The sequence below is a fragment of the Homo sapiens genome, chromosome 5 (assembly GCF_000001405.40).
Source record: "Homo sapiens chromosome 5, GRCh38.p14 Primary Assembly".
In the NCBI taxonomy this organism is placed as follows: Eukaryota; Metazoa; Chordata; class Mammalia; order Primates; family Hominidae; genus Homo; species Homo sapiens.
This window is the reverse complement of record NC_000005.10, coordinates 65,456,542-65,482,994: the sequence shown is the minus strand read 5'-3', so window position 1 is coordinate 65,482,994 and position 26,453 is coordinate 65,456,542. Positions and strand designations below refer to the sequence as shown.

At 36.3% G+C, this 26,453-nt stretch overlaps 1 protein-coding gene across 12 annotated transcripts in view, besides 4 other annotated features; it reads left to right on the top strand.

Annotated features, from left to right (window-relative positions):
- Positions 696 to 1,195: an enhancer, noted in NCBI's record as "H3K27ac hESC enhancer chr5:64777627-64778126 (GRCh37/hg19 assembly coordinates)". NCBI's record gives its function as "activates a minimal SCP1, AML or CMV promoter by ChIP-STARR-seq in naive and primed H9 embryonic stem cells {active_cell/tissue: H9 hESC(naive and primed)}" and the evidence as "EXISTENCE:reporter gene assay evidence [ECO:0000049][PMID:30033119]".
- Positions 696 to 1,322: a biological region, named in NCBI's record as "H3K27ac hESC enhancer GRCh37_chr5:64777627-64778126".
- Positions 873 to 922: an enhancer, noted in NCBI's record as "active region_22605". NCBI's record gives its function as "activates an Ori minimal core promoter by ATAC-STARR-seq in GM12878 lymphoblastoid cells {active_cell/tissue: GM12878}" and the evidence as "EXISTENCE:reporter gene assay evidence [ECO:0000049][PMID:35858748]".
- Positions 963 to 1,322: an enhancer, noted in NCBI's record as "active region_22604". NCBI's record gives its function as "activates an Ori minimal core promoter by ATAC-STARR-seq in GM12878 lymphoblastoid cells {active_cell/tissue: GM12878}" and the evidence as "EXISTENCE:reporter gene assay evidence [ECO:0000049][PMID:35858748]".
- ADAMTS6 (ADAM metallopeptidase with thrombospondin type 1 motif 6) overlaps positions 1,075 to 26,453 on the top strand; it is a 333,183-nt gene continuing 307,804 nt past the window's right edge. For 2 of the 12 annotated variants that reach the window (NR_135689.2, NM_197941.4), the window contains exons 1-4: positions 1,075 to 1,652; positions 9,043 to 9,418; positions 11,853 to 12,217; positions 22,657 to 22,825. Coding sequence is in view for 9 of the 12 variants with exons in the window: in NM_197941.4 (NP_922932.2) it covers positions 9,322 to 9,418; positions 11,853 to 12,217; positions 22,657 to 22,825 (631 nt within the window). In the remaining 3 variants the exon portion in view is untranslated. Of the gene's footprint in view, positions 1,653 to 1,680; positions 2,276 to 2,295; positions 2,470 to 9,042; positions 9,419 to 11,852; positions 12,218 to 22,655; positions 22,826 to 26,453 lie in introns of those variants that run through there. The other 10 variants (XM_047416675.1, XM_011543114.4, XR_007058575.1 and 7 more) reach the window with 7 other exon arrangements.

Sequence of the window (26,453 nt, the reverse complement as noted above, 5' to 3'; positions counted from 1 at the left end):
TGCCAGACTTTGTTTGCTTGCTTAGGACATGGAAAACACTGGGCATTTTCTCCCCAGCGGCTTTCATTCTCAGCAAATGAAAGTGAAAGTGCTACATTGTAGCGGTATTTTATCCTTAAAGTCTGGACTGGCAGCTTGTGTGTAGGGGGGAGGGAGGGTGGGATTGGGAAGGTTGAAGAACCAGTTTTGAGGTTTTGTTTGTTTATCTTGAGATCGCAGCAGGGTTCCTGTTTTTTTCCCTTCCTTTTTTTTTTTGGTGGTGGGGTCCTACTTCGGATTTATTTTCATTTGGGCAGTCATTGAAGTTTCATTCAATGGACTGACTTAAAAAAATACACTCCACTTGTGGCTTTTCCCGGTTGCACTTTAAAACACCATCCAGTCTCACCCTCATCTGGAAATAATGCAAGCTTCTCTCTTCCTTCCCCCGCTCCCTCCTCCCCTACTTTTTTTTTTTCTTCTTCTTCTTCTTTTAAAGCTCCACATAACCTGAAGTCGATAATCAAATGGAAAATGTGCTGGTATTAGTTTACTTTAGTTTACTTTCCCTTTTGGTGCTAACCTTACTTGCTGAAGTATGTATAAAACACAGGCATTTTGTACACTTGTAGCTACTGAGTCTTGTGCCTGCTGCACGAATCTAAGCTTTAAGTTTCCTCAGAGGCACTGTTTGCGTGCAAGTTTTAACATTTTGATTGTGTGGATTTTAAAAATAAAATTACACGGAGAATGACACCAGAGATCTTAACAGTGACATTAGTCCATCTAAAGTCATTCATCCTTCTCCCTCCCCCTTCATTTTTCCAAGAAACAACTAATAGCAAACCAGGCTAGAATTTCTAAGAGAGTTTAGAGGAGGAGGAGGAAAAGAGGCGGAATGAGATAGGACAGAGAGGTTAGAGAGGCCAGAATTTCTCTCATTCACAGTGTGGAAAAGTTGACATTGTCTAAGCCCTTCTGAATGGCTGGTAGTTGGTTACCCCGATTGTACCTCTACCTCCCCTCCCCCTCCACGTGACGACCCAGGACACATGCGCACCCGACGCAGCCCAGGCACATCTGCAGACTGACGTCAGTGTGCTCTGCCTCCGAGGAAAAGCTGCCAAAATTTTCTCCTGCTGCAATTCAAGTTGGCTGGGGGCCGGTAGTGAGATCTAGGGCTACTTCAACAAAACTTTGCTGCCCTTCCTGCTCCTCTTGTCTTCTTTTCTCCTGATACCTTTTGATGCTCTGCACATGTTATTTGCATAGCAAAGGCACTAAGCTTTCCAGGAAGAGAGGGCACCACTTCCACCCCCAATAAGTCTTTTTTCCCGTCTTTTCTTTCTTTTCCTTTCCTTTTTTGGGGGGTGGGGAGGGAGAGAAAGGGGGTTTGCAAAGGCAGCATCTCAGAGTGATAGCCTAGATGTATTGAAGGCATCTCTTATTCTGCCAAATCGGAAAGTCAGTTCTCTAAAGCCCGGGTTAGCCAGACCATAGGGTTTTATTCTGGCTGCAGAATAACTGGCTGGTGTGGCTTTGCAAAGGGGGGCAAAAAATAAAAAAATAAAAAAAATTAAAAAAAGTTAGAGAGGAGAGGGAGTACGTGAGTCGTCCAGTGCAATCTCTATTGTCTGAAACTTACTTTTTATCAGAATTTGAAGATGAAAACGGTAAGGAAGACTTAACAATATTCAATGGAGCTTTTTTTTTTTAAACCAACAACTTGTGCTTTGCTTGTCTTCCGAATAACGCTTAGAAAACTTTTTTTCTGTGTGTGTGTTTTTTTTTTTTTTTTTAATGGCAATGAGTGAGCTTGACTGAACTCATTTTACAAATAGATATCTTTTTAACTCCAGACTTGTCGGGGGTTGTAGAATTCTGGGACTTGCAGTTATTTTATGATGCAAAAAAAATACGTTTATTTTATGAATATACAATACATGTTTTGTGAAGTGGACTTGATTATGATTATTGTAATCTTTTAACTGATCACCAAATAGTAATCCGGAAGGTAATAATGATGTGTGTGTTTTAAATTGATTTCCAGTTTTCTTACAGAAAAGTCTTATGCATTTTGTAGTTTCATGTCAGTGTCGTTAAGTCTTCAGACAAGTGCATATTTTATGCCTGGGCTCAGAGGGTAGCATTAATGTGCTAGCTGTAGCCCCGATGCTCTAGGACATGTTAAGCTCTTAATAGGCTAATCAAAGAGATGGAAACGTGTGTTTTTGATTTACTTTTGGCCACTTGGGACGTGCTAGACTCATAACCCTCCGGAGCCTTGTTTATCGGGGTAGGTCTGTATATATGGTGTATGGGACCAAAGTTCAGGGATTGAGGAGGGAGAGTGAGAGTGCAGGAATGGGGTATTGGGAAGCCTCTTTCTGATAATATGTGCTACAATTCCTGTCTTTGATGCTTTCTTTCCCTGTACTAGAGGAAAAGTGAGCGAGAGATTGAGAAAGCGCACTGAGAGGGAACAAGAGAGTGAGTTTCTTACTCTTGTTTTTATTTGAGCTGCCGGTGCAACGCGTTTGGGCCAGATGCCAACTGTCTGGGTCACACGCGTTTTATCCAAATAGATTTAGCGCTGCTGTCTGGAAATGGGCTGCTGAATGTTAACTTTAGGATCAACTCAACCAGGGCAGCTCAGACTGTTACCCTCTGTCTGGGCGAAGTGGAATGGTGGGGGCGGGGGGAGGTGAGGGTGTGCAGAGCAGAGAGAAAAAGGGAAACTGAACCATTGCTTGGAACTTTAAAAGAGACACTTGAGTGTGATTTTCAACATGTTCTTTTTATGTTCAAGTGTCGTGGACTAATTTTCTGTTCTTTTTTCTTTCTTTTTAGTTTCTGTTGATTAGACTGAAATGTTTAGATGTGGGGATGACAGTTTTCAGAATTCATGACAGGAAAAGAAACGTAACACAAAATTGGTGTAGTTGAAAGAAATTAAGAAAATTAATTTTGGAGATAATTGTTTTCTTGTGTTGCAGCAAAGTGGTAACTGCAGTCTGGTTTATGTTAATTCTGTGCTTAAATGTGATCGTTAGTGTTTTGAATTTTTGAAGAATAGCATTTAGAGGCAAATACGTTGATTTCAAACAAATCAAATTCATTCATTTGCCACAGCTGCAAATGAAGTCTGTGTAGTGGTCTTAATATTTTTGTGATTCCCAAGAAGAAAAACTTCTAGCCTGAAGACTGAAAATACTGTAATACTCCTTATGTCTGGTCCCAATACCTGTAAGATTAATTCCTACTCTTGTCTACTCTTAGCACTTCCTCTTTCTTTCCTTAGTAATCACTAGTAGTAGTAACTAGGATGGGTCTTTATGCCAAATTTTATCAAGTTTGTGACTTTAGTGAGTGAATGAAGGGAGTTACCATATTAAGAGATAGTTAACAGCATATTTGGAATATGTGTTGGGGGTAGTGGGGAGAAAAAGAGGGGAAGAGGTGGATAGCTCTCTTGCTTCTGCCAAAAAACATGGTTGATTATCAAGCTAAGCTCAAGAGAAAAAATTTATAATACAGAAAATGTGTATTTACTTGCTATCTGGAAAAAAGTGTGAGACTACATGTAATTTAGGGCTTGAGTTTTATAAATCATGGTTTGTATTTTTGCTTTTAGCTCATTTGCTTGATAGATATGTTTTGGGTAATTTATGTGTTTAGTTTCACCTTTCCTTGGAAACCAATCTCACAAATTTTATAAATGATCTAGAAACCTTTATACTTAGAGCCTAATTGTGTCCTTAGCATACAGTAGGTGATAATAAATGTGAGAGAATAAATGGAAATGAAAGAAGTTAATTTTCATATGTAAAAATTAAACACCTGAAAGGAGCATGGTATTGTTGTTTCTTCCATGGAGACCAAATCAGCCTTAAATAAATAACCAGAGTTAAGATGGATGAAAGAAGTTGAGAAGAACATTATACACATTCTTTAGCTTCATAATAATAGTTCACAAGAGGAAATTATTACCTTGGCTACTCCCCGATCACTTGAGTGGGAAGTAAAGATGATAGAGGAAAAAAGACAAGTAATACCCTCCAATCAGGGCAGACTACTGAGGAAATCACTATAGTGCAAGTTGTCTCATCATTTTTCTTCTTAGGTAGTGTAGCTTTGATCCATGGAAGCAGGTAAATGATCCCTTAACTTTACTGCCTGGTGCATTTGTGTTAGGGAGAAAAGCATATGTGAAATCAAAGTGAAATGGACGTTTTGGTTCTGTTTTCAAATTTAAAGTAGTTATAAGTATCATTATCATGACCAAAGTTCTTAACTCCTTGCTGTAAAAGACAATATAACTAGTTGATTGACTCCATCATCATATCTATTATTTCACATTTTTGAGGGAAAGAGGAACATGAAACTATTTTTGAAGGAAGGGCTTTGAAAAGTGATGTTAGATAATGAAGGAAGGAGGGCTAATATTATTTAGCTTAAAGTACAGAGACACTTTACGTCATATGTAATCTAATCTCTTAACAAGTCTTTGTGAGATAGACATCAATATCATGGTTTTATAGATTAGAAAGCAGATGCAGAGAGGTTAAGTAACTGGGGGTCAGGCCAGGACTCAAAGCCTTTGTGCTTTCCACAACATAATGATGTTTCTGCTATACAATTTAAAAGGTCAATGCATTGTGATTTTTGGACAACTGTTTGGTATTTCAATGTTAGTCTGAACTTTGGAAACTATATCTGAAAAGTCACAGCCTCTACATATTTATGGTGTCCAGATTAACCTCCCCACCAGGTGTCAGAAAGTGGGTTAACTCATTCACTTTTATTGTGTAGGTGACTAAGAGCAGTTAGATTTGTTAGTTGTGTTGATTTTAGTTAAATTCCTTTTTTGTTTGTTTGGTTTTTTTTTTGAGACGGAGCCTCGCTCTGTCACCCAGGCTGCAGTGCAGTGGCGTGATCTTGGCTCACTGCAGCCTCCACCTCCCATGATCAGGTGATTCTCTTGCCTCAGCCCCCTGAGTAGCTGGGATTACAGGTGCGCACCACCACGCCTGGCTAATTTTGTATTTTTAGTAGAGACAAGATTTTGAAATGTTGGCCAGGCTGGTCTCAAACTCCTGACCTCAGGTGATCTGCCCATCTCAGCCTCTCAAAGTGCTGGGATTACAGGTATGAGCCACCATGCCTGGCCAGTTTTAGTTGAATTCTATCTAGACTCATTTACTTAATGTTAAGTTTCTTCACTGAGCACTGGAGGCCAAAAAAAAAAAAAATGTGGGGAGGGAGCAAGGGAGTGATAAAGGAGAAAGAAACTCATGTGCCAGCTATTATAACTAGTGTTGGAACTAAGACTATAACTGGTTTGTTTAACTTCAAAGCTCCTGCTTTTTCAACTATGCACCAATGCCTTTTTTACTGCAAATCCTTAAATCATATAGTAGTCTACTTCTGGCCAAATAGGTATTACTTTTTTTTCTCAATGCTACTGGCTTAGTTAACTTGAGCATTTACAGGAGAGTAGGTAAGAGTGAAGGTTATGAAACTGTAACAATTTACAAAAAGAGCAGGACATTTCTCAAGAGGGAAAAATAGTTGCTCCCTAAATCCAGTCAACTATATTGTAAGTTTCTCAGTAGTTTCAAAACCTAGAAAAATAGGAGAAAAAGGGATGAATGATTCAATCAAATCTATCTCCATTGCTAGAAAATTAACTCAAATGTGTTAAGTATATGTTTTTTAAAGGAAGATTATAATCTAAAGTATATGAGGGACTAATTTAATGTCAGATGTTATTACTCAAAACACTCCAGTGATCTAAAAAAATTAAAACAATGAAAATGAATGTTGTTCAAAAGGTGACAATTATACTTTAATATTACATGGGAAGGTTTAGAGTATGGAATCTGTATATAAGTAGGTTGGAAACCAAGATAATGGAATTCTTCTTATTGCCGTTATTGAATAATGGTATAACTTAATCTCTCTATAAATTTTTACCTGAGAAAGGATGCCTGCTATCTTGCCTAAATTAGTGTAGAAGTAATTTCAAGAAGAAACAATGACTGTATGTGAAGTTGTTAAAAACTATTCACATTAACTAACCAATACCACTTATAAATATATCGACTGGGCGCAGTGGCTCACGCCTGGAATCCCAGCACTTTGGGAGGCTGAGGCTGGCGGATCAGGATGTCAGGAGATCGAGACCATCCTGGCTAACACGGTGAAACCCCATCTCTACTAAAAAAAAATACAGAAAAATCAGCTGGGCATGGTGGCACGCATCTGTAATCCCAGCTACTCAGGAGGCTGAGGCAGGAGAATCACTTGAACCCGGGAGGTGGAGGTTGCAGTGAGCTGAGATCGTGCCACTGCACTCCAGCATGGGCGACAAGAGCAAGACTCAGTCTCAAAAAAAAAAAAATCTTCTTTGACATTGGTTGTTATTAACTACTGTTGACTGTTTAAATTTGAGTGCCTTAAACTGGAAGTGTGATATAATACAAAGAATTTAGACTTTAGAACCAGACAGCCTTGTGTGAATCTGGGCTCTATTGTTTTATACCTATCTGACCAGTGAGTTCAGCTTCTTTATTTGTGAATTGGTGGCTGTATTAGTTATCAATTGCTGTGTAACAAATTACCACAAACTTAGTGAGTTAAAACAATACACATTTATTATCACACAGTTTCTCTGGGTCAGGAATCTAGGGGTTATGTCCTCAGCTTTAGGGTATCTCATGAGCCACAAAGTGTTGGCAAGGACTAGGGTCTTTACAGAAGGCTTGACTGGGGAAAAACCTGTTTCTAAGCTCACCTATTACTGAACAGGATTTAGTTTCTTGCATGCTGTTGGACTGAGGGCCTTAGTTCCTTGTTAGTTATATCAGAGGCTGCTCTCAGTTTCTTCAATGTGGGCCTCAACAAATGACAGCTTGCTTGCTTCATCTAAACCAATTAGGGAAAGATGTGGCTAGCAGATGGAAGTCAGAATCTTTTGTATGTAATAACGAAAGTGACATCCCCTCAGTGTTGAGGTATTCTATTGGTTAGAATCAAATTAAGAGGAGGGGAGCAAGGGAATGGATATGAGGAAGCCAGATTATTGGGCTCATCAGAGTCTACACTGCCACAGGGGCAGAGTATATTTACTTCACAAGATGGTTTTGGAGATTAAAAGAAGCAATATGTATTAAAGTTTTTTATTTTTGGTCTGATCTTAAACTACCTTTCTGGTTATTACCTGTTAGTTTTTTTGCACAGGAACAAAATTTGCTATTGCTATTATTACTAATATTGTTTACTATTTCCCATTTTTTTCTGGTTATCTAGACTTTGTGGAATGCATTTCTTCTATTTGTAATGATTACCTCCAGCAATTTGACTTGTAAAATTGTATTCGTCTTCCGGGATCTATCTGAAATGCTTTTTCCATAAACATTCCTTGATTCATTCTTCTCTGACCCAGAAGTCATCTCCCTCATCTGATCTCCTGCAACAACTTTGCACGACCTTATTACGGCATTTGTCAGTCTGCCTTACATTTTTCCTTGTTACTTAGATTATGAGCTCTCCAAGGGCAAGGATTGAATCTTAATCTTTTCTGTTTCCCTTAATCCTTTTCTGTATTCTGATGTTGTTATAACATCATCTTTTAAACATAGTAGGACAATATTTGTTGATTAATGAATTAGCTTTTCCAAGGCTTAGCAGTTTAATAACTTGTAGAGACAAATGTAAGGGATTTAAATGGCTGTTGTTGTTTTATATGTTGTATATACCAATATTTCTATCACCGTAGGGAATGAAGTGTTTCACATAAGTTAATTTTACAGTTAACTACAAATACTTTTTATATGCCTAAAGTGATTTTATTTTAACCACTATTCATTTATTCATTCTTTTACTCATCCATTTTTTTCAACCAACAAATATATAGTAAGAATTTATTATGTGAAAATTTCATATATTAGGGATTTGGAATGAAAATCTTTCTAATCTCTTTTGTGTACTTTCCTAACTTACTAACAGTAACTTACCTTATTAAACGCATTTATCTTCTTATTTTGGACTCAGGCATAGTGTTATGAGTATCAGATATTGAACTATATAACACAGTTATACATACAATAGGAACTGTTAAACTATGTAAGACCCATTTGCCTCTACCCCAAACTATATTACTTTGGGGTTCTAAAACTACATTTTCGTTTTTTATCCTTTTTTTTTTTTTTTTTTTTGGTCACAGTTTGGCTGTTTGTGGCTAGTTTTTAGCTCTTAGTTATTTTCTTCTTCTGATCTGCTGTATGCGGGGAAACCAGGCAGCCAAATATACTATTCTGTATCAAGTGTGAATGGAGACTCTGAGTGAGGTTGTTAGTTGCATGTAAAGTACATGAGCTAGGACTTGAAATCTGTTGTAATACTTGAAATGAAGTTTTAAAATTTTCTTTTAAGTTACATTTCAGAGAGTTGAAATTGACTCACGAGTTGCCTTATAAGTCACATAAGACTTCCGAGTAAAGTCAAGGGTTATAGTACATACAGTTCAACTTTTTAGAAGTTTAGCTTCTGATACTGTCTTAGTATTCACAGATGGCTGCTAAATGTCACTATTTGTAGATCTACTTTGTCAGAAAAAAAAATGATAGGTGCCTTATAAAGCAACACAACAATATCTGGATATGAGTGTGTTTAAAAGGCATGTTATGGAATGGGATTACATATTGTTTGTCACATATAATGAACTGAAGTAGTGAAGTCAGCCGATTTTATTTTATCAAAAGGAAGTTAACTCATTGCCCATCATTGTTATCTTCAAAGTTTTTAAAAAAGAATTATGATTTCTCTTTAGATTCCTTATTTGATTATTAAGTAACTCTGGCATTATGCTGATAACCATTTTGGTCTCTAATTCTGTGTCTAATCTTGTGAATGTTTATTTAGACTATAAAGACTAACAATGGTCTAATTTAACTATATTATTTTGTAGTTATGTCTTTTGGCAAGGATTCAGTACTATATAGGACTTGGATTTTTCCATTCTGGATATTTTTCAGTTAACTTAAATTTTTTTTTTTCTAGGTTAAAAAATGGCCATACTTTAGTAACTAATCAGCCTAATGCTTTGCTTATGAAAACTTTTACCATCATTATTTTTTTCATTTTGGATTGAGAAAATGAATCCAGATATAGAAGAAAGTGCAGGATGTTGGATAAAAGTGGCTCTTAAACAGTGGAACATCCAATAACTAATTTGCAAGAAGTTTTAAAGAAATAAAATTGTTATGCTTCGATTTTGGTATGGTATTGACTCTTTAGCACATAGGTAGCCCTCAAAAAAATCATCCAGTTTTCTAAATTATGGAAATTTTGTGGAAGACGTTGACCTGGATTTTGAGCCTCATCATGGCTTCATCGGAATTTCATAGTGACCACAGGCTTTCATACAGTTCTCAAGGTAGGATTCTTGCTTTTGAAACTGACAAAAAATATTGCTATTAATTGGACAAGAAAAGATTCTGCATATTTAGTTTGGGTGGATAGTTTTTTTTGGGATATGTAGTGATAGGAATAGAGGCCTACTGTGTCAATTCGGTATTAGTTTCATAAATGTTAAGGGCTATGCGTCGTTTAACTTGTCCTACTAGTATTTAACATCCCGTGGATTTTAGAGTTGACTGGTCTTTCTTGGAAAATGATAGACCCCAGGCCTTGTTCTTCTGAAACTTAAACTTTAATAAGCTTGTTCATTACTAGAGTTTATGGGCAAGGACATGTTCAAAGAGAATCCAAACATTTATGCTGTGGAAGAAGAAACCAGATAAATTATGATACAGGACCCTTTTAATATGGACCCTTTGTGAAAAAATACTTTTGCAAACCTGAGAGTTCTGATCTAAAGACTAGAATCTGAGTGTAAGAATGAGAACTGTAAGAAGTGCAACTTTTCACATTCTAATCTTTATAATTTTAATCTATAGAATTGAGCTTTATATCGTAGAAATGATCTTAACAAAGCAGGCCCAGGAGTAAATGTCATTTTGTTTTCCATGGACCAGTCCAGTCCTTATAGAATTATTGAGAGGCATACCTTTTGGATTTCCCTCCCATGAATACATAGTAATAGATAATTTTTTGGTGCCGATGAACCAGATTTTCAAGACTATTACAGATTGATGTATGTATCTAGAAATCCATGTTAAAAAGTGTGGCTGTCAAAGTAAATCAATGAAGCCATGACATTTAGTATGAACTCTAATTATTTATAAGAAGTGAAATAAACACTGTCTTTGAATTTATTTACATTTGGTTATGGTTTTATAGGAGTTTATATTAGTGTGTAAACTCCATGTATAGACACTGAGGCAAATAAGCAGACATTTGGTTTACCTTAGTGGTAAATCTAGCTGAAAGAAGGTACAGCTAAGAAGGTAGATGGAAAATGTTTAGTACATCTAAATGAGGAAAATATGTTCCTCATTTAGTTCTCTGAAATTTTAGTCAAGCTGTTTTTAAAATAGCTTTATTGAGATATTACTACACATACCATAGAATTCACCCATTTAAGGTATAAAATTCAGTGGTTTTTAGTATTTTCGGCATTGTACAACCATCACAATAACCTATTTTATTTTATTTCATCTTATTTTTTGGCACTAGTGTCATCGCCAACATAATCAATTTTAGAACATTTTCATCACTCCAAAAAGAAGCCTATACTTCTTAGTGGTCACTTCCAAATTCCCTCCAAACCAGCCTTCACCTCCAGCTGTAGGCAACTAAACCTTCTGTCTGTAGAGATTTCCCTATTCTGGATATTTCATATAAATGCAATGATATGTGGCATATTGTGACTTGCTCTTTTACTTAATGTTTTAAATGTTAGATAATGAACTTTGATTATGAAGACAGTTGTTCTGAAGGTTCATTCATGTCATAGCATGTATCACTACTGCATTCCTTGTTATTGTAAAATAATATTGCATTGTGTGGATATACTACATTTTGTTTGTCTATTCATCAATTGATGGAAATTTGGTTTAATTCCCCTTTTTGAGTATGATGAATATTGCTGAGCATTCACATCTAAATTTTTATGTGAATGTGTGTTTTCATTTCTATTGTGTATATACCTGAGAGTAGGATTGCTGGATCATATGGTTAACTCCATGTTTAAAATTTTGAGGAATTGTCAGACTGTTTCTCAAAGTGGTTACAGCATTTTACATTCCCATTGACGTGTTTTTGTTTTTGTTTTTCGTTTTGTTTTTTTTTTTGAGACGGAGTCTTGCTCTGTCGCCCAGGCTGGAGTGCAGTGGCGCAATCTCGGCTCACTGCAACCACCACCTCCCAGGTTCAAGTGATTCTCCTGCCTCAGCATCCAGAGTAGCTGAGACTACAGGCGTGTGCCGCAACGCCCGGATAATTTTTTTGTATTTTTAGTAGAGGCGGGGTTTCACCGTGTGATGATTTCTTAAAAAATAATAATTTCTACAAGGCTATAGAGATTCTTTTTTGGATAACTTTCAAAAACAGATTCTGAGCTAAACTCTTTTCTTTTACATATGTGTGCTTCTCATTATTTTTTATTTCAAAGTAAAATTTTAATATTTCTTGTAGAATTTAGCTCTTAGGATCCATGTTTTAAAAATTAAAAAAGTAAAATAGTCCTTCACAAGTAATATTAAAATGATGGCAACTTAATCTTCAGATTTTAAACTTTTATTCTTTCATTTTTGTTTAATATAACTTTTTTTGTACATACCTCACATATAATGATTCATAGTTTTAATTGACATAGTTGTTGTTTATATTGCTGCTTCTTTGTTCCGTTAAATTTTCTTTTCTTCCATGTGTTTTTTTTCTGGATTCTCTGCCTTGTGATTACAAAGAGGAATTCCTGACTTATCTTGAACACTACCAGCTAACTATTCCAATAAGGGTTGATCAAAATGGAGCATTTCTCAGCTTTACTGTGAAAAATGATAAACACTCAAGGAGAAGACGGAGTATGGACCCTATTGATCCACAGCAGGCAGTATCTAAGTTATTTTTTAAACTTTCAGCCTATGGCAAGCACTTTCATCTAAACTTGACTCTCAACACAGATTTTGTGTCCAAACATTTTACAGTAGAATATTGGGGGAAAGATGGACCCCAGTGGAAACATGATTTTTTAGACAACTGTCATTACACAGGATATTTGCAAGATCAACGTAGTACAACTAAAGTGGCTTTAAGCAACTGTGTTGGGTTGGTAAGTAGATGCTATAATTTTAAACTTCTGATGGGAAAATAAGAATTTTGCAATGTAAATGTCTTTCCTCAGATTAAAAAAAAAATATATATATATATAGGTAGTTTAAGTAGGAAGGTAATAGTTTAAAATTTTTTGCTATTTCTGCTGCCTTTGATTTTGATTTTCTTTTTAATAATGTATTGACTTTTCAAAGGGCAGCTTTTAAAACTCTATTATTAGAAGAGGAATGAACAAAACTTCAGATTTCCCTTTAGACTTATGTTTTTCTGTTCAAATAAGATATCTTTTATGCATAAACAAAACTCAGTCATTTTTGAAGAATTTTAGGGTATGTTTGTATGTATATGTGTATTATGGCAGGAAGCCACAACACTGACATTCTTTTTATAATATCTTTCTTTGGTAGGTAACATATCTTAAAATTTCTTATGACCTACTTACAGTTATAAGTTCTCGAAGTAAAATCTTTTATACAGTGTCTATGAGATAATTTTTTATACATTTATATGAAGATTGATATAAATCTTATTTTAGTTAGAAAATGGGTTCTAGGCTGGGTGAGGTGGCTCATGTCTGTAATCCCAGTGTTTTAGGAGGCCGTGATGGGAGGATTACCTGAGGCTAGGAGATCAAGACCAGCCTGGGCAGCATGGCGAGGCACCCATTTCTAAAAATATATTTTTAAGAAAGAATGGAAAAAAGAAAATGGGTTCAAGACTACAGGGTTTATCCTGGGCATTTGAATCCATTCTAGTCTAATGGTAAATACACAGTTCAAAGTTGCACATAGTAATAATTGCAAAACAAAGCAAATTTCCATGCTTTCTCTTCTGTGTTTACCCTGTTCAGGCTAATGTAGCTGTTCCATTAAAGCTGTATCTGTGAAAAGGGTAAAAACATTTTGATGCTCAAGGAACATTTTCAGAAACTTTTTCTTTTTTATTATAACATACCCATATTCTTATTTCTGTTTCAATATAAAATAACTATAATTCGAGTTGGGTTTAAATAAGTTTTAAATTTGAAAGGACTATCAAGAACTACACAATGGAGGAAAACATTTCACTGTAGATGTATATAGGAATGTGCTCCAATTGTCTACTTTCTATCACTGTTAAGTAAAATGAACCAAAATATTTACTTAGCTTGTAAGATTTAGGCTTAATTTCTACAAATAGACAAATTGAGTATACTCATTACTAGTTTCTCTATAAGCAGTGTTAGGACTTTCTCTATAAAACAGATTTATTTTTTTAAATAAAATTATCCAAAATGTGTTCTAAAACTTTTCATATGTTAAAATGGCACACTATTCATTATCATAGAAAAATACTATTCCTAGTTATTGACTAGGTTATTTATGTTTGGCATTAACATTAATTATGCCATTGCTAGTTTTAACAGGGTGATGAAATGAGCACATTCAAGAACAAAACTAATTCCATTGTGGGATTTGAGAGAAGAGTGATTGTAGATATGAAGATAATTTAGAACATGTAGGAGACAATAAGGGCCTATTCGAAGACTATGGCATTGAGAATAAAGAAGACAGAATGAATTTGAACCACATTTAGGGACAAAATTTAAAATATTTGCATCCTATTAATTTTTTCTTTCCTGACATGTAATAAGACAGAGAATACATAGTAGGTAGTTAATAATATTTTAAAAAATTGAAATAGAATTGAACTTGTGAGATACAGGAGAGAAAGCAATTGAAGATGGCTGAGATATCTCTTTTGGATGAAAGTATATATGAATGTTATGAGTTGAGAACGAATGTCAGAGGAGAGCTGGATTGGAGAGGAATTTGAAGAGCATGCCTTTGATATAGCAAATGTGAGGAATCTGAATAAATAAAGGTTAAAGATATCTAATGGTATTTGAGAAATGTAGCTCTGAAGTTTAGAAAAGAATTCAATTCTGGAAACGAGTAACTTCAGAGCCATTAATGTAGGTGACTTTATGAAATTGTGCAACATGCTGTTTGATGACTCAAAAGTGAGAATAAAGTTGAAAATGGAACCTTTTCTACAATGAAGGAGATGACAAAATGTCACCTATTCATCCTTATTGAGACTTTCTGTCTCTTGTTCTCTTTCCCTCTGTTAACACCTATTTTACTTCGTCTCTTATTGACACTGTATGGTCCGTGTTAACTAAGTTTGATTATTTGATTAAGGTGTGATCTGCCAGGTTTGTCCACTGAAGTTACTATTTTTTCCCTTGGCAGTTCGTAAGGAATTTGTGAGCAGATGTTTCACACTTTTACACACCAGTTTTAGTAAACTTTATCTTCATTCTTATTTTGTATGTTACTTTTTTTTTTTTTTTTTTTGAGACAGGGTCTTACTCTTGCCCAGGCTGGAGTGCAGTGGCGTGATCTTGGCTCACTGCAACCTCCACCTCCTATGGATGTTACATTTTTAATCAAATGGAATATGTAAACAAGTGTTTTTTAAAAAATTCTACTTTTCAAAGGCCACCACTTTTAATAAATTCTATGTTTTTAATCATTCTATATAAAATAGTTGTTAATGCAGAGATCATTAGTGTTTTCTAATCGTATCTCCTCACCCATAGTTTTAGTGCTGGGACTCTTGCACCATTCAAAATACAAAATTCCTAACATTATAGTCTGTCAGCTTCATATAATGTCATATTTTAATTTGCTGTGTATTTGGACCATGGTTTCTTACTCAGGTTTTGTTTTTTCTGGAGTTTCTGTTTACTTTTACTTTTTCTCAGTGCGAAAAAAAATATCGTTTCTTTATCAAGTGATTTAATATTTTCCACTTCCTTAGTCCTTTTATCTATTGCTTGAAATACATTCCATTCTTCTTTGGAGGCATTTTTCATGGAGCCATTTAATTAATTTATTGGGCTAATTTCTTGATGTTAGTTTCTGTAACATCTCTCATTTTGGGACTTCTTTCCTAAATTAGTTCCACATCTTTCTCTTTCTGAGTTTACATTCCTGGTTTTGTTGGAGAATATCTTCAAAAATTACCTCAGAACAGCGACTGGAAAGTAAAGTTTCTGAGTCTGTGTCTATTTGAAAGGGACCTTATGCAGCCCTCATGTTTGATTAATAATTTAGCTGAATGTGAAATTCTGGGTTCAAAAAATCATCTTCCTTAAGAATGATGGATGGTGGTACTGGGAAAGGGAATATATAGGGCATAAAATTTATTTATATGGTTTTATAGCTTTAAAAAAGAAAAATACTTAAAGGTCTTAAAAGTTAGCATTGATTCACAGGTATAAGTCTGCTGCTAGTCTGATTCTTGTCCTTTTATTCTTTAAAAATTTTTTTTAGTTAAAAAAAATTTCCCTCAGTGAAAGCATGTTCCTTTTATCCTTCCTGTTTCAGGAACTTATAACATGGCTAACTATGGGTTTTCTTTCCTAATTTCTGCTTGGTATTTGATGGGTGCTTTTAATAAAGACCCTCCTTCAGCTTAGAGAAATTAAAAAAATTATTTCCTTAATAATTTTATCTTCTTAATTTTTTCTTCCTCCCTGCACTCTCTTTCTGGAATTGGTTCTCTGCTTCGCTTATCTTTTTCTCTTTTTCCATTGTTTTCTTTTTTGTTCTAATTTCTATGAGATTTCCCCGATTTCGTCTTCTTTTCCTTCAGTTGATTAAAAAATTACAGCAGTCATATTTCTAATTTTCAAAAGTTCTTTCTCTTTTTCTTGGATTTTCTTACATTCTGTCCTTTTTTTTTTTTTGAGACGGAGTCTGCTCTGTCGCCCAGGCTGGGTGCAGTGGCGCAATCTTGGCTCACTGCAAGCTCCGCCTCCCGGGTCCACGCCATTCTCCTGCGTCAGCCTCCCGAGTAGCTGGGACTACAGGCTCCCGCCACTACGCCCGGCTAATTTTTTGTGTTTTTAGTAGAGACGGGGTTTCACTGTGTTAGCCAGGATGGTCTCGATCTCCTGACCTCGTGATCCGCCCACCTCGGCCTCCCAAAGTGCTGGGATTACAGGCGTGAGCCACCGCGCCCGGCCTATTCTGTTCTTATTTCATGAAGACTGATTATCTTCAGTCCCTCTGAATATTATAAAGACCATATAGCTAGTTAGAAAAGCTCAATGATCCCATTAGACTTTCTGTTCATTTAGTCATGTCCATAGTTGTCATTCTCCCCTTTTCATTATTCATTCATTTCACTAATACTTATAAGTACCTTCCATATAATGGGCACTGTTGTAGGTGCTAGGATTACAGTAGTGAAAAATAAAAATCTCTGTTATCATATAGCTTGTATTCTAGTAGGGTATACACACAAAAAGATAAATAAATAAAAACTATAATACGTTGGGTAGTGATAAATGGCAAGGAGGAAAAAGTATTGAGCAAAGACCCTAAGGGAAAGGAGGAAGGAAATGCTGGCATCTGAGGGATAAGATTTCCAGGTAGAAATTTTAAAGTACAAAGATATGATCTTAGAGTGTTTGAGGAACAGCATGGAGGTCACGTGGCTGTAGCCAAGAGAAAGGGAGGGAGAATAATGGAAGTTGAGGTCAGAAAGGAAACTGGGAGCCAGATGTAAAGGCTTTAGGGGACACAAAATAGAATCAATGATAACTACAAGTTCGAGGCCTGAGCAACTAACATAATCTAGCAGCCATCAACTAAGATGAGAAAGACTCTGGAATTAACTGAGATGAAAAAGCTGTTCGAGGAGTAGGTAGGGGGATGTATATCATGAGTTCAGTTGGAGGTGTTAAACGTGAGATGTTGTATAGGATATTGGATATGTCAGTCTGGAGTTCAGAAGAGAGATATGAATTAGAAAGTTATAAATTTGGGAGTCATCAATATATAGATGCCATTTAAAGCCAAGAGATTATATGAAATTGCTTTGAAGGGAGCATAGGTAGAATAGAGAAGAGGTCTAAGGACTGAGCCCTTGGGCATTCCAAGAGGTCAGGGAGGTCAGAGAGATGTAGCAGAAACAACATAGAACAGAGTAATAAAGCTGAAGGAATATCTGGAAAATGTTCTGGAAGCCAGAAGGAAATATTTCAAGAGGAAAGTGCTGCTGATGAGTCCAAATAAGAGTAGCACTGCAAATTGCATTGAATTTATCATTGAGGAAGTTATTGGTGACCCTGACAAAAGCAGTTTCAGTGAAGAAGAGTTTGAAGAAGAGGCAATGACATGATTGGAGTAGGTTTAAAATGGAGTGGGAGGAGAGAAAAAGAGTATGTAGACAGTTATTTCAAGGATTTCTGGAAAAGCAAAAAAATTTTCAGTAGCAGGCAGAAGTGTGGTCGCAGGAGGTTTTGTTTTGTTTGAAGTGGGAATGATTAGGTAGAGTGAGGGGTGCTGGAATGAAGTTCTTGATAGGTGAGAAAGGATAGAATTTTCCACACAAATAGAATAATTACCTTTAGCTAGGGGAATAGATAGTTCATCCATAATAATAGGGAAAAATAGATTATATGGACATAAGATGCAGGTAGGTGGGTATTTGTGATTGTAGGAATTTGTAGGAGGTTTTGCAATGTCTATCGGAGGGGAATATGAAGGTTTTAGAGGATTAAGTAGAGATGAGAAAACATGAAATAGTTATCCAGGAGAATGGGATACTGAATGAACTTGATAAATATATAATTTCTGTGAAGCATTACAGTTACAGTTAAAATTATTAATGAATCTAAAGTGAGACCAGTCAGCATTTTGTTGTATTTTTCTCTGGCTAAATGCAGCTGCAAAGGTGCAGGCCCAGCAAAGTTGAATCTTATCAAGGTTGTGGTTTAGCCAGCTGGATTCCATGAAGTGAGAAAGAGGTAAGGGAATTGAAGGTGGAATTGAAGCTGGGTTGTGAGGGAAGTGAGGACATGAGGTGGGTGAAGGACAGTGAAAAGGTGATAGGATCAATGGATTATGGGACCTCATGGGGATAAAAGGACTATCCCTTGGAGTTGGCATATTAGAGGGACAGTTTTAGAAAGATAGAAGAATGGGATACTTGAAATCAAGATTATAGAAGGCTCCAAATATTGATAATGCTCAAAGTCTAGGGATTGACTGTGGGCATGGTGTAAAAGGTAAGGTGAGGGACAAGATATTTGAAGGAGAGGAGGTCAAGGAATTGAGAGGGCAGGGAATGAAGAGACCATCTATGTCATTAGTTTTTAAACTAGGTCCATGGATGGGATTCAGGGGGATTGTGAACTGAAGTGGGCAAATATCACATCTTTATTTTTACTAATTCTTAATGGAAATTTAACATTTCTCTCAATTTTAAATATAGGTAACAAACCAATATGTTGATAGCAGTACCTGTGACTTTGCCTCCAATAGAAACCACAGATATTTTCATATCATTACGGTTTTTGCATTCTTTTAAAAATATTTTTATTCATCACTAATTGTGAAATTGTGGTAGTTATTAGAGCCACTGAATATCTTATTTAAGGTGTTACACAAGTTATATGTATTATATTTTAAAAATATTTTGATAACTGTATTTTACTAAATTGGTTTTATTTATAATCCTATATATTTTTTCTGCATTTAAAATATTCTGAGGAGGAGTCCTTAGGTTTCACCCTTAGACTTCCAAAGGGATTCAGGGTATGTGCACATGCACATACACGTATTTTAAGAACCTGTGATGTAAGAAGATATTGAAATCAACAACTATTTCAGGAATGATGTTGCAGAGAATGACGGTGATCTAGAATCTCTTATTTTTAAGGAATGAGGGAACTGACTTGGGATCAATAGATAAATGCAACTGGGAAAGGAGGGAGAAGATCATGGCATGAGGTTCAATGCTGGTGTTTGTTTGTTGAGGAAGGAGAAAGAATTGTTTGGAAATGACAGTGAGTTGCAAGAACATCTGACCCTACCTTCAGGTCCAATAGGAGGCATGTAGAAGACAAAGCAGCCACCGTTCCAGAGGACTACAGGAAAGGAGTGTCATTTAGGGAGCTTCAGGTTTTTGTTAGAGCAAGATGAAGTGAATATTCAGAGATGAAGCTGGTGGTAGAGGAGATTTTGTTGATGATTGACCTTGAGTTTGAGAGAACACAGTAGAAGTGTTTCAAATAATAGGGAGAGGTAGGAGATGGGATCAGAAAACAAGATGTACATAATCATATGAGAATTAGAATTCAGGGGGTGAGGTTTGGGCTTCTCAAAGGAATTTATACCTCAAGGAAAGAGGAGGCATGGTGAAATTAGCCCTAATAGTCCTGAGGCAGATAGTGTAAAGGTGAATGGGGATACTGAGGTAAGTGAGAGCAAGGCTTTTGCCAGGCATGCATAGATTTCTGGTACTCCCACTAAATTCAGGCCCTCCATCATCTGGTTTTCAGACCCTTTCTAATCTCATAATCACTCTCCCCTTCCCTCCCTTCAGTCACTGTAGCTCCTGATTGTTTCTGAAATACTGTAAGTATGCTCCTACCTCATTGCCTTTGCATTTGTTGTTCCCAGTATCTGGTCTGCCCTTTCCCAAGATATATATTTGGCTTGCTCCCTCATTTTTTTCAGGTTTCTGCTCAAATACCACCTTATTAGAGAGGATGGTTGCAACTATCCAATAGTTTGTATAATTCTCTCACTTCTAATTATTCTCTGTCCTTTTTGATTGCTTTTATCTCCCCTCTTAATGTTTATCAGTACCTGCTTCATCATTTATTTGTATAATCAATTAGCTTTTTTTTTTTTTTTTAGACGGAGTCTTGCTCTGTTGCCCAGGCTGAGTGCAGTGGCACGATCTCAGCTCACTGCAACCTCCGCCTCCCAGGTTCGAGTGATTCTCCTTCCTCAGCCTCCCGAGTAGCTGGGATTACAGGCGTGTGCCACCATGCCTGGCTAATTTTTGTATTTTTAGTAGGGGTGGGGTTTCACCATGTTGGTCAGGCTAGTCTCAAACTCCTGACCTCGTGATTGACCTGCCTTAGCCTCCCAAAGTGCTGGGATTACAGGTATGACCCACCACGCCAACCTAATTAGCTTTTTCTAGCTCCTCCCACCAAAATGTAAGCAACGTGATACAGCTGGAACTTTGGTTCACTGTTGTATCCCTACCACATAGCATAGTATCTGCCTTGTGATAGGCACTTGAGAAAGCATATTTTGTGAAAAAATAAATAAATACAGAAACAGCCCTTAGAGGATAAGAGAATTATGGTGTAGTGGTTAAGAGTTCAGGCTCCAAAGTCAATCACGAGTTCATTGTTTAACGTTGCTCCATCTCAGTTTCTCATCTACAAAGTGGAACAGTTAGTGGTACGTCAAAGAGCTATTAAGAAGAGATAATGTTATAAACATTTTACAAAGTACCTAACATATAAAATCTCTGGATTGTTCTTCTAGAGTCTTTTCATTCTTGAAATTAGAGATTGTGTTTACTTACCAGGCTTCTGACTTCATTTTTCCCCAGCAAATCAAGTCTCTTGTCTGGTAACTTTCAATTTTCTTGTGCCCACAGACCAGCATGACTTTAGTCTCTAGCCTATCTGGACTGTAGCCTAGACCTTGCTTCCTACATATCCCTCTTATCAAAACTTATACTTTCCCCCTTATTCTGCAGGAACTGTGTTCAGTTTTTTAGCACATTGTTGATCTACCTGGTAAAGTACTTCATACTGAGGTATTAGAATATGTTAATGGCATATTATGTTATTTCTGCCAGTATTTGCATTTAATATAGGGACTATTTTCCTTAAATTAAAGCAAACAATGGTGAAAATTATATGAAGTGACTCAGGGCTGCTTTTTTTGTTTGCATTCCTCAGCTCATTTCATGTAGGTGACTGCCAATTTAATCTATAAATTAGAGCAACTCTGATTATGTCTTATCATTCCTTCCAAGCATGAGGTACTTAACATGAATTTCCCTAAGCAGAATCATAGAGGTTTAGAATTCAAAGGGACCTTAGAGATTATCTGGACTAGAGGTTTTCAGCTTTCTTTTTAAAGCAGCAAAACCCCTTTTTCAAATGAAATGTTATGTGGAAACTTAATATATAGATTAATAAATAGCACAGCTGATTCCTAAACCCAGGAATCCAAGCCATGTAGGTCTCCCTTTGTTGTCTGGGGCAATCCCCTGAGGGCACTTCCATGGAACCCTTAGGGCTCCCCAGAGTGCTGTTTTAAAACCACTAATTTAGACCAACTCTTTCATTTTTCCAGCTGAGGAAATACACCCAGAGAGTTTTTATTTTATCTGGTGTTACAGGGTAAATTAGTTGGATTAAGAGCAGTCCTCACATGTGCCATACTTAGGAAAACACTATTAGACAAAGGTGGAAATTCTTATTTCAGATGTAGATAACTTTTACCATCTCATTTTTCATCAACAAAGTTCTATTTATACCTATTACATGTGGGACACTTTCTATGGTTTTAACTGATACGAAGAAATATGAGATATAACCCTTTGCCTTAAAAAGCAAATTATCTAATTGGGAAGCTAAAATATGAGTTGAAAACTTATACCAACTTTAAATAAGACTTCACGACTTGAGATGTAACAAAGCAGTGTGGGATTAATTGAAAATAAGTGATACTGAGAATTAGCTCTATTGGAGCTCAGTGGAGGGTGAAGCTACTCCATTTGGACTAGAGAAGGTTTTTAAAGAGGAGAGATAACTGAGTAGCACTTGGCTAAGTAAATAGGGATAAGGTGATATAATACTGTAAGTAAGGGCAGAACTTTGAATTCCAGTACCCTCACTTACCTCTATGTAATATTGGGCAAGTCCTCTGAGCCTGTTACTTCATCTGCAGAATGGGGGATGTATGGGATGTGTGTTAATTAAGAACATATTAATTGATGTAACATAAACCTCAAAATGTCAATGATTTGTCACAATAGAAGCTTATTTCTTCTGTATGTCTGTGTCTACATCAGACATCTTTCTAAGAGGTCACACAGGGACCCAGGTTCCTTCTTTTTTGGTTTCTACCTACCCTAGGTATTTGGAGTTCTCTTCGTTCAGTGGGGAAAGAGAGTAGAAGATTCCACTGCAGAGGTATTCAGAGGTTGGGCTGAAAGTGTTACATAACCCTCTGCCCATATTTTTATTGTGCAAAACTCAATCACAAAGCTATATCTAAACACAGAGGACATAGTTATGTGCATAATGTGGAACTGAAATAAGTTTTAGTGTTCACATAAAATCTGTTACCTCACAGAGTCGTTGTGAGATTGGAGGAAATCACGTATGTGACATGCTTAGTACAGTGCATAGCATATGGAGGTATTTAAATGTCCTTTTTAAAGAATAGGAACATTTATATAATGTTTTAATTGAGTACAGATAATTCGCTAATTTTTTTATTAACGTGTTTTAACCCTGTAAATGGAGAAGTGTCCATTTACTTTTAGCTCTTGGTAATAATGATAACTAATATTTAAAATGATTCTCTTTGGTAAGTTCTTTGTTTATTTTTCTTTTAGCATGGTGTTATTGCTACAGAAGATGAAGAGTATTTTATCGAACCTTTAAAGAATACCACAGAGGATTCCAAGCATTTTAGTTATGAAAATGGCCACCCTCATGTTATTTACAAAAAGTCTGCCCTTCAACAACGACATCTGTATGATCACTCTCATTGTGGGGTTTCGGGTGAGTGAGTGTGCAGCTTTTACAAAGCGTATTGTACTGGATTGCTGCTTTTTCTTTCTTCTGGCAAGTATAGTAAGGTTAGCAATAAAAGGAAGTAGGAGTTTGACTACAATTATAATGTCCAGAGCCCTTTTAATAGATGTCACCTACCAGTAGTTTTAAATCAATTTGGGAGCTCTTTGAGAAGTTTTTAAGCTGTAAGTTTGTATAAAATTCATTTTCTTTTTTTGGTTGAAGGGAAAAAAATAACCATTTTATTTTACTTAGGTAATAGCTATAGCTTTTTTGCACAGTTATACTGTAGTACTCTGTGGTGTTCGTTTAGCCTGATATTTTTATGCTAGTAGCAGGAATCTAGACACTTGAATAAGACTTGAAGAGTCTTAAGATAGTATTCAAAAGTAGTGTTAGCACTGAGCGAGGATACTATAGAAATATGTAGTACGGGCAACAAACTTAGACTTCAGTGGTCAAGGAAAGCTTCATGGAAGAAGTGACTTCTAAGCTGAGGGCTGGGGGAAAAGTGAAGGTAGCTGTGTAGAAGTGGAGAAAGCAGTGGCTATTAGTGTTTCACATAGAGGAAATAGTGTTTATGAAGCTCCTAAACCAAAAGGGAGAATGTCTTATAATTGTTTTATAAGACATGTTTTATAAATTGACAGACAGTTCATGTAACTGGATATTAGAATGTGGGCTGGAGGGATAAAGGTGAGGTTCATAGTGGTTGGGGGAAGTGGTTGTGAGAGATGAAACTGGAAAGATTAGCAGAGGCCACATCATGAAGAGCTTATAAACCATGTTAAGGGGTTTGTTTATCCTACGTGCACTAGAAACCCACTGAAAGGATTTAAACAGGAAGAATAACATAATCAGATTTGTGTTTTAGAAAGACTACTCTTGCAGCAATATGGAGATGGAATTAGAGAAGAGCAAGACTAGAGCTAAGGAGTTAGGAGGATGTTAGTCTAAAGGTGAGAAAATGTAGAGAAACAGGCCGGGCGCGGTGGCTCACACCTGTAATCCCAGCTCTCAGGGAGGCAAGAGGCGGGAGGATAGCTTGAGCCCAGGAGTTCGAGACCTGCCTGGGCAATATAGCGAGACCCCGTTCTCCAGAAAAAGGAAAAAAAAGAAAGAAAAAAAAAAGACGAAAATGAAGAGAAACAGTGGATATAACATAGCACAGCAAAAAGAACATGCGCTTTGATATAGCATAGGACGAATTACCCAACCTCTCTGAGTGCTCATCTTAGCACATACTAGTTACCCAATCAAATTGTAGCTATCATTAAGATGACTGTTTCTAGTACACTAAAGTGTTATTATATTAACAAAAATTTTTAAAGATTTGTTCTATGTAGTTCCAGTAGCTAGAACCAGGGGCAGAATGTTTCAGAGAGATTTCAGCTTAATGCAAAGGTAAAGTCACCAACAAATAGATTTAGTGAAAAATAGAAAGGGTTGGCCGGGTGCAGTGGCTCACGCCTGTAATCCCAGCACTTTGGGAGGCCGAGGCAGGCAGATCACAAGGTCAGGAGTTCAAGATCAGCCTGGCCAATATGGTGAAACCCTGTCTCTACTAAAAATACAAAAATAAGCCGGGTGTGTTGGTGCTTGCCTGTAGTCACAGCCACTTGGGAGGCTGAGGCAGAAGAATCGCTTAAACCCGGGAGGTGGAGGTTGCAGTGAGCACAGATTGTGCCACTGCACTCCAGCCAGGGTGACAGAGTGAGACTCCATCTCAAAAACAAAAAAAAGAAAGGATTGCCTTGTGAATTAGTGTATGATATGTATTATCCTTTTGTTTCTTCTCCATATTCTTCATAGGCTTGTTTTCTTCCTAAGTGTTAAGTCTTCTTTTCTTAATCTACTTTTCCCATTCTGCACACTTTCTTCTTGAGTAATCTCTGAGGCTGTTAATTAGGTCCTTGTTGGTCAAGAATAGTTGGTACCAGAAAAAGACAACTTACAGTGAATCTACTTAAAACATGAAATTAAATTCCATAGTTAATAATTAAAACAAAAGGTTTGTTGGGTCTTTATATTGAGTAATGAAATGAACCATTATGGAAATAAGTTTATCTTATATTTAACAACATTTAGACTGTAAGTATAACTATATGTAAATTCTTTAAAAACTAGGATTCAGGCCGGGCACGGTGGCTCAGGCCTATAATCCCAGCACTTTGGGAAGCTGAGGCAGGCGGATCACGAGGTCAGGAGATCGAGACCATCCTGGCCAACATGGTGAAACCCCGTCTCTACTAAAAATACAAAAATTAGCCAGGCGTCGTGGCACGCGCCTGTAGTCCCAGCTACTCGGGAGGCTGAGGCAGGAGAATTGCTTGAACCCTGAATGCAGCGGTTGCAGTGAGCGAAGATCACACCGAGAGCGAAACTCCTTCTCAAAAAAAAAAAAAAAAAAAAGAAAGAAAGAAAAAAACTAGGATTCAAATATTCAGTTGTTTATTATAATGTAATTATTCTATCATTTTTCCATAATATGCCAGCCTTCACTCTATGATTGTAAAGAAGATCACCTTTTGCAAAAATATTTAAAGATTTTATCATATTCTGAAAAGCTTATCTCTTAATCCTTTCATATTTAAATTATTCTTTTTTGAAGTATGTATCACATTATTTTAACTCAGGCAGATCCTTATTTTTTAATGGTTTACGCATTAGTCAAGCACTTCTCCAATCCATTCTTATGGCTATCATAAAATTCTGCACTTTTGGGGAAAGATATTCTCTTACCATCTCTTATTTGGATTACTGTGAGAATTTCCTAAAGTGTTCCATTTCAATGTTTTTAATTCACTTGCCATTTCTACTACCCCAAACTCTAGTCTATTTATTTTAGACCCTCATTATCTCTTGCCGAGACCACTATACTGACTTTCTAATTATGCTTTTTGTCTCCAGGTTTGTGTTCTTATTTTCAGTAAAATCTGTCCCCTATATCTGGCTGTATCACACACCTTGAAAAACTTCACTGGCTTCCCATTACTGGGAATATAATAGTATTTCCCTATGTTCTGGGCAAGTGTTACTGGGGAAAAAAAACGTTTTGTGTTTACTAGTAAATTTGAGAAATGTCTGGCTAACATCTTAATTGTGATACTGTTTCAACAGCATAGGTCAAGTGAGAGATGTGAATTTATAGGCATACACTACCAGTTAGCCTATTACCTGGAATTCAAGTTTATGTCAAAATATAAGATATGAAAACCCCCTTGACACAGGACATATTTATCTTATATTCAGATATTATTTTTTTCTATTCTAATTAGATTCAAACTACGAATTTTTAAACATTTTATAGAAGTAATAAATGTTCCTTTTAGAAAATTTAGAAAATACAGGACAAAAAGGAAAAGAAGAAACTGAAAATTACTTATTCCAATACCCAGAGATAACTAAGTATTCTTCTAGTCCATTGAAATAGATATTATTATGTCTCTATATCTTCATTATCTACTTATGTATTCATTAAATAAATATTCATTTAGTACCCGTATGCAAGGCTATTCTAGGTGCTGGGGATGCAGCAATAAATAAAGCAGAAAAAGTCCCTGCTCTCATGGAGTTTATATTCTAGTGAGGAAAGACAGTTAACTAAATAAACAAA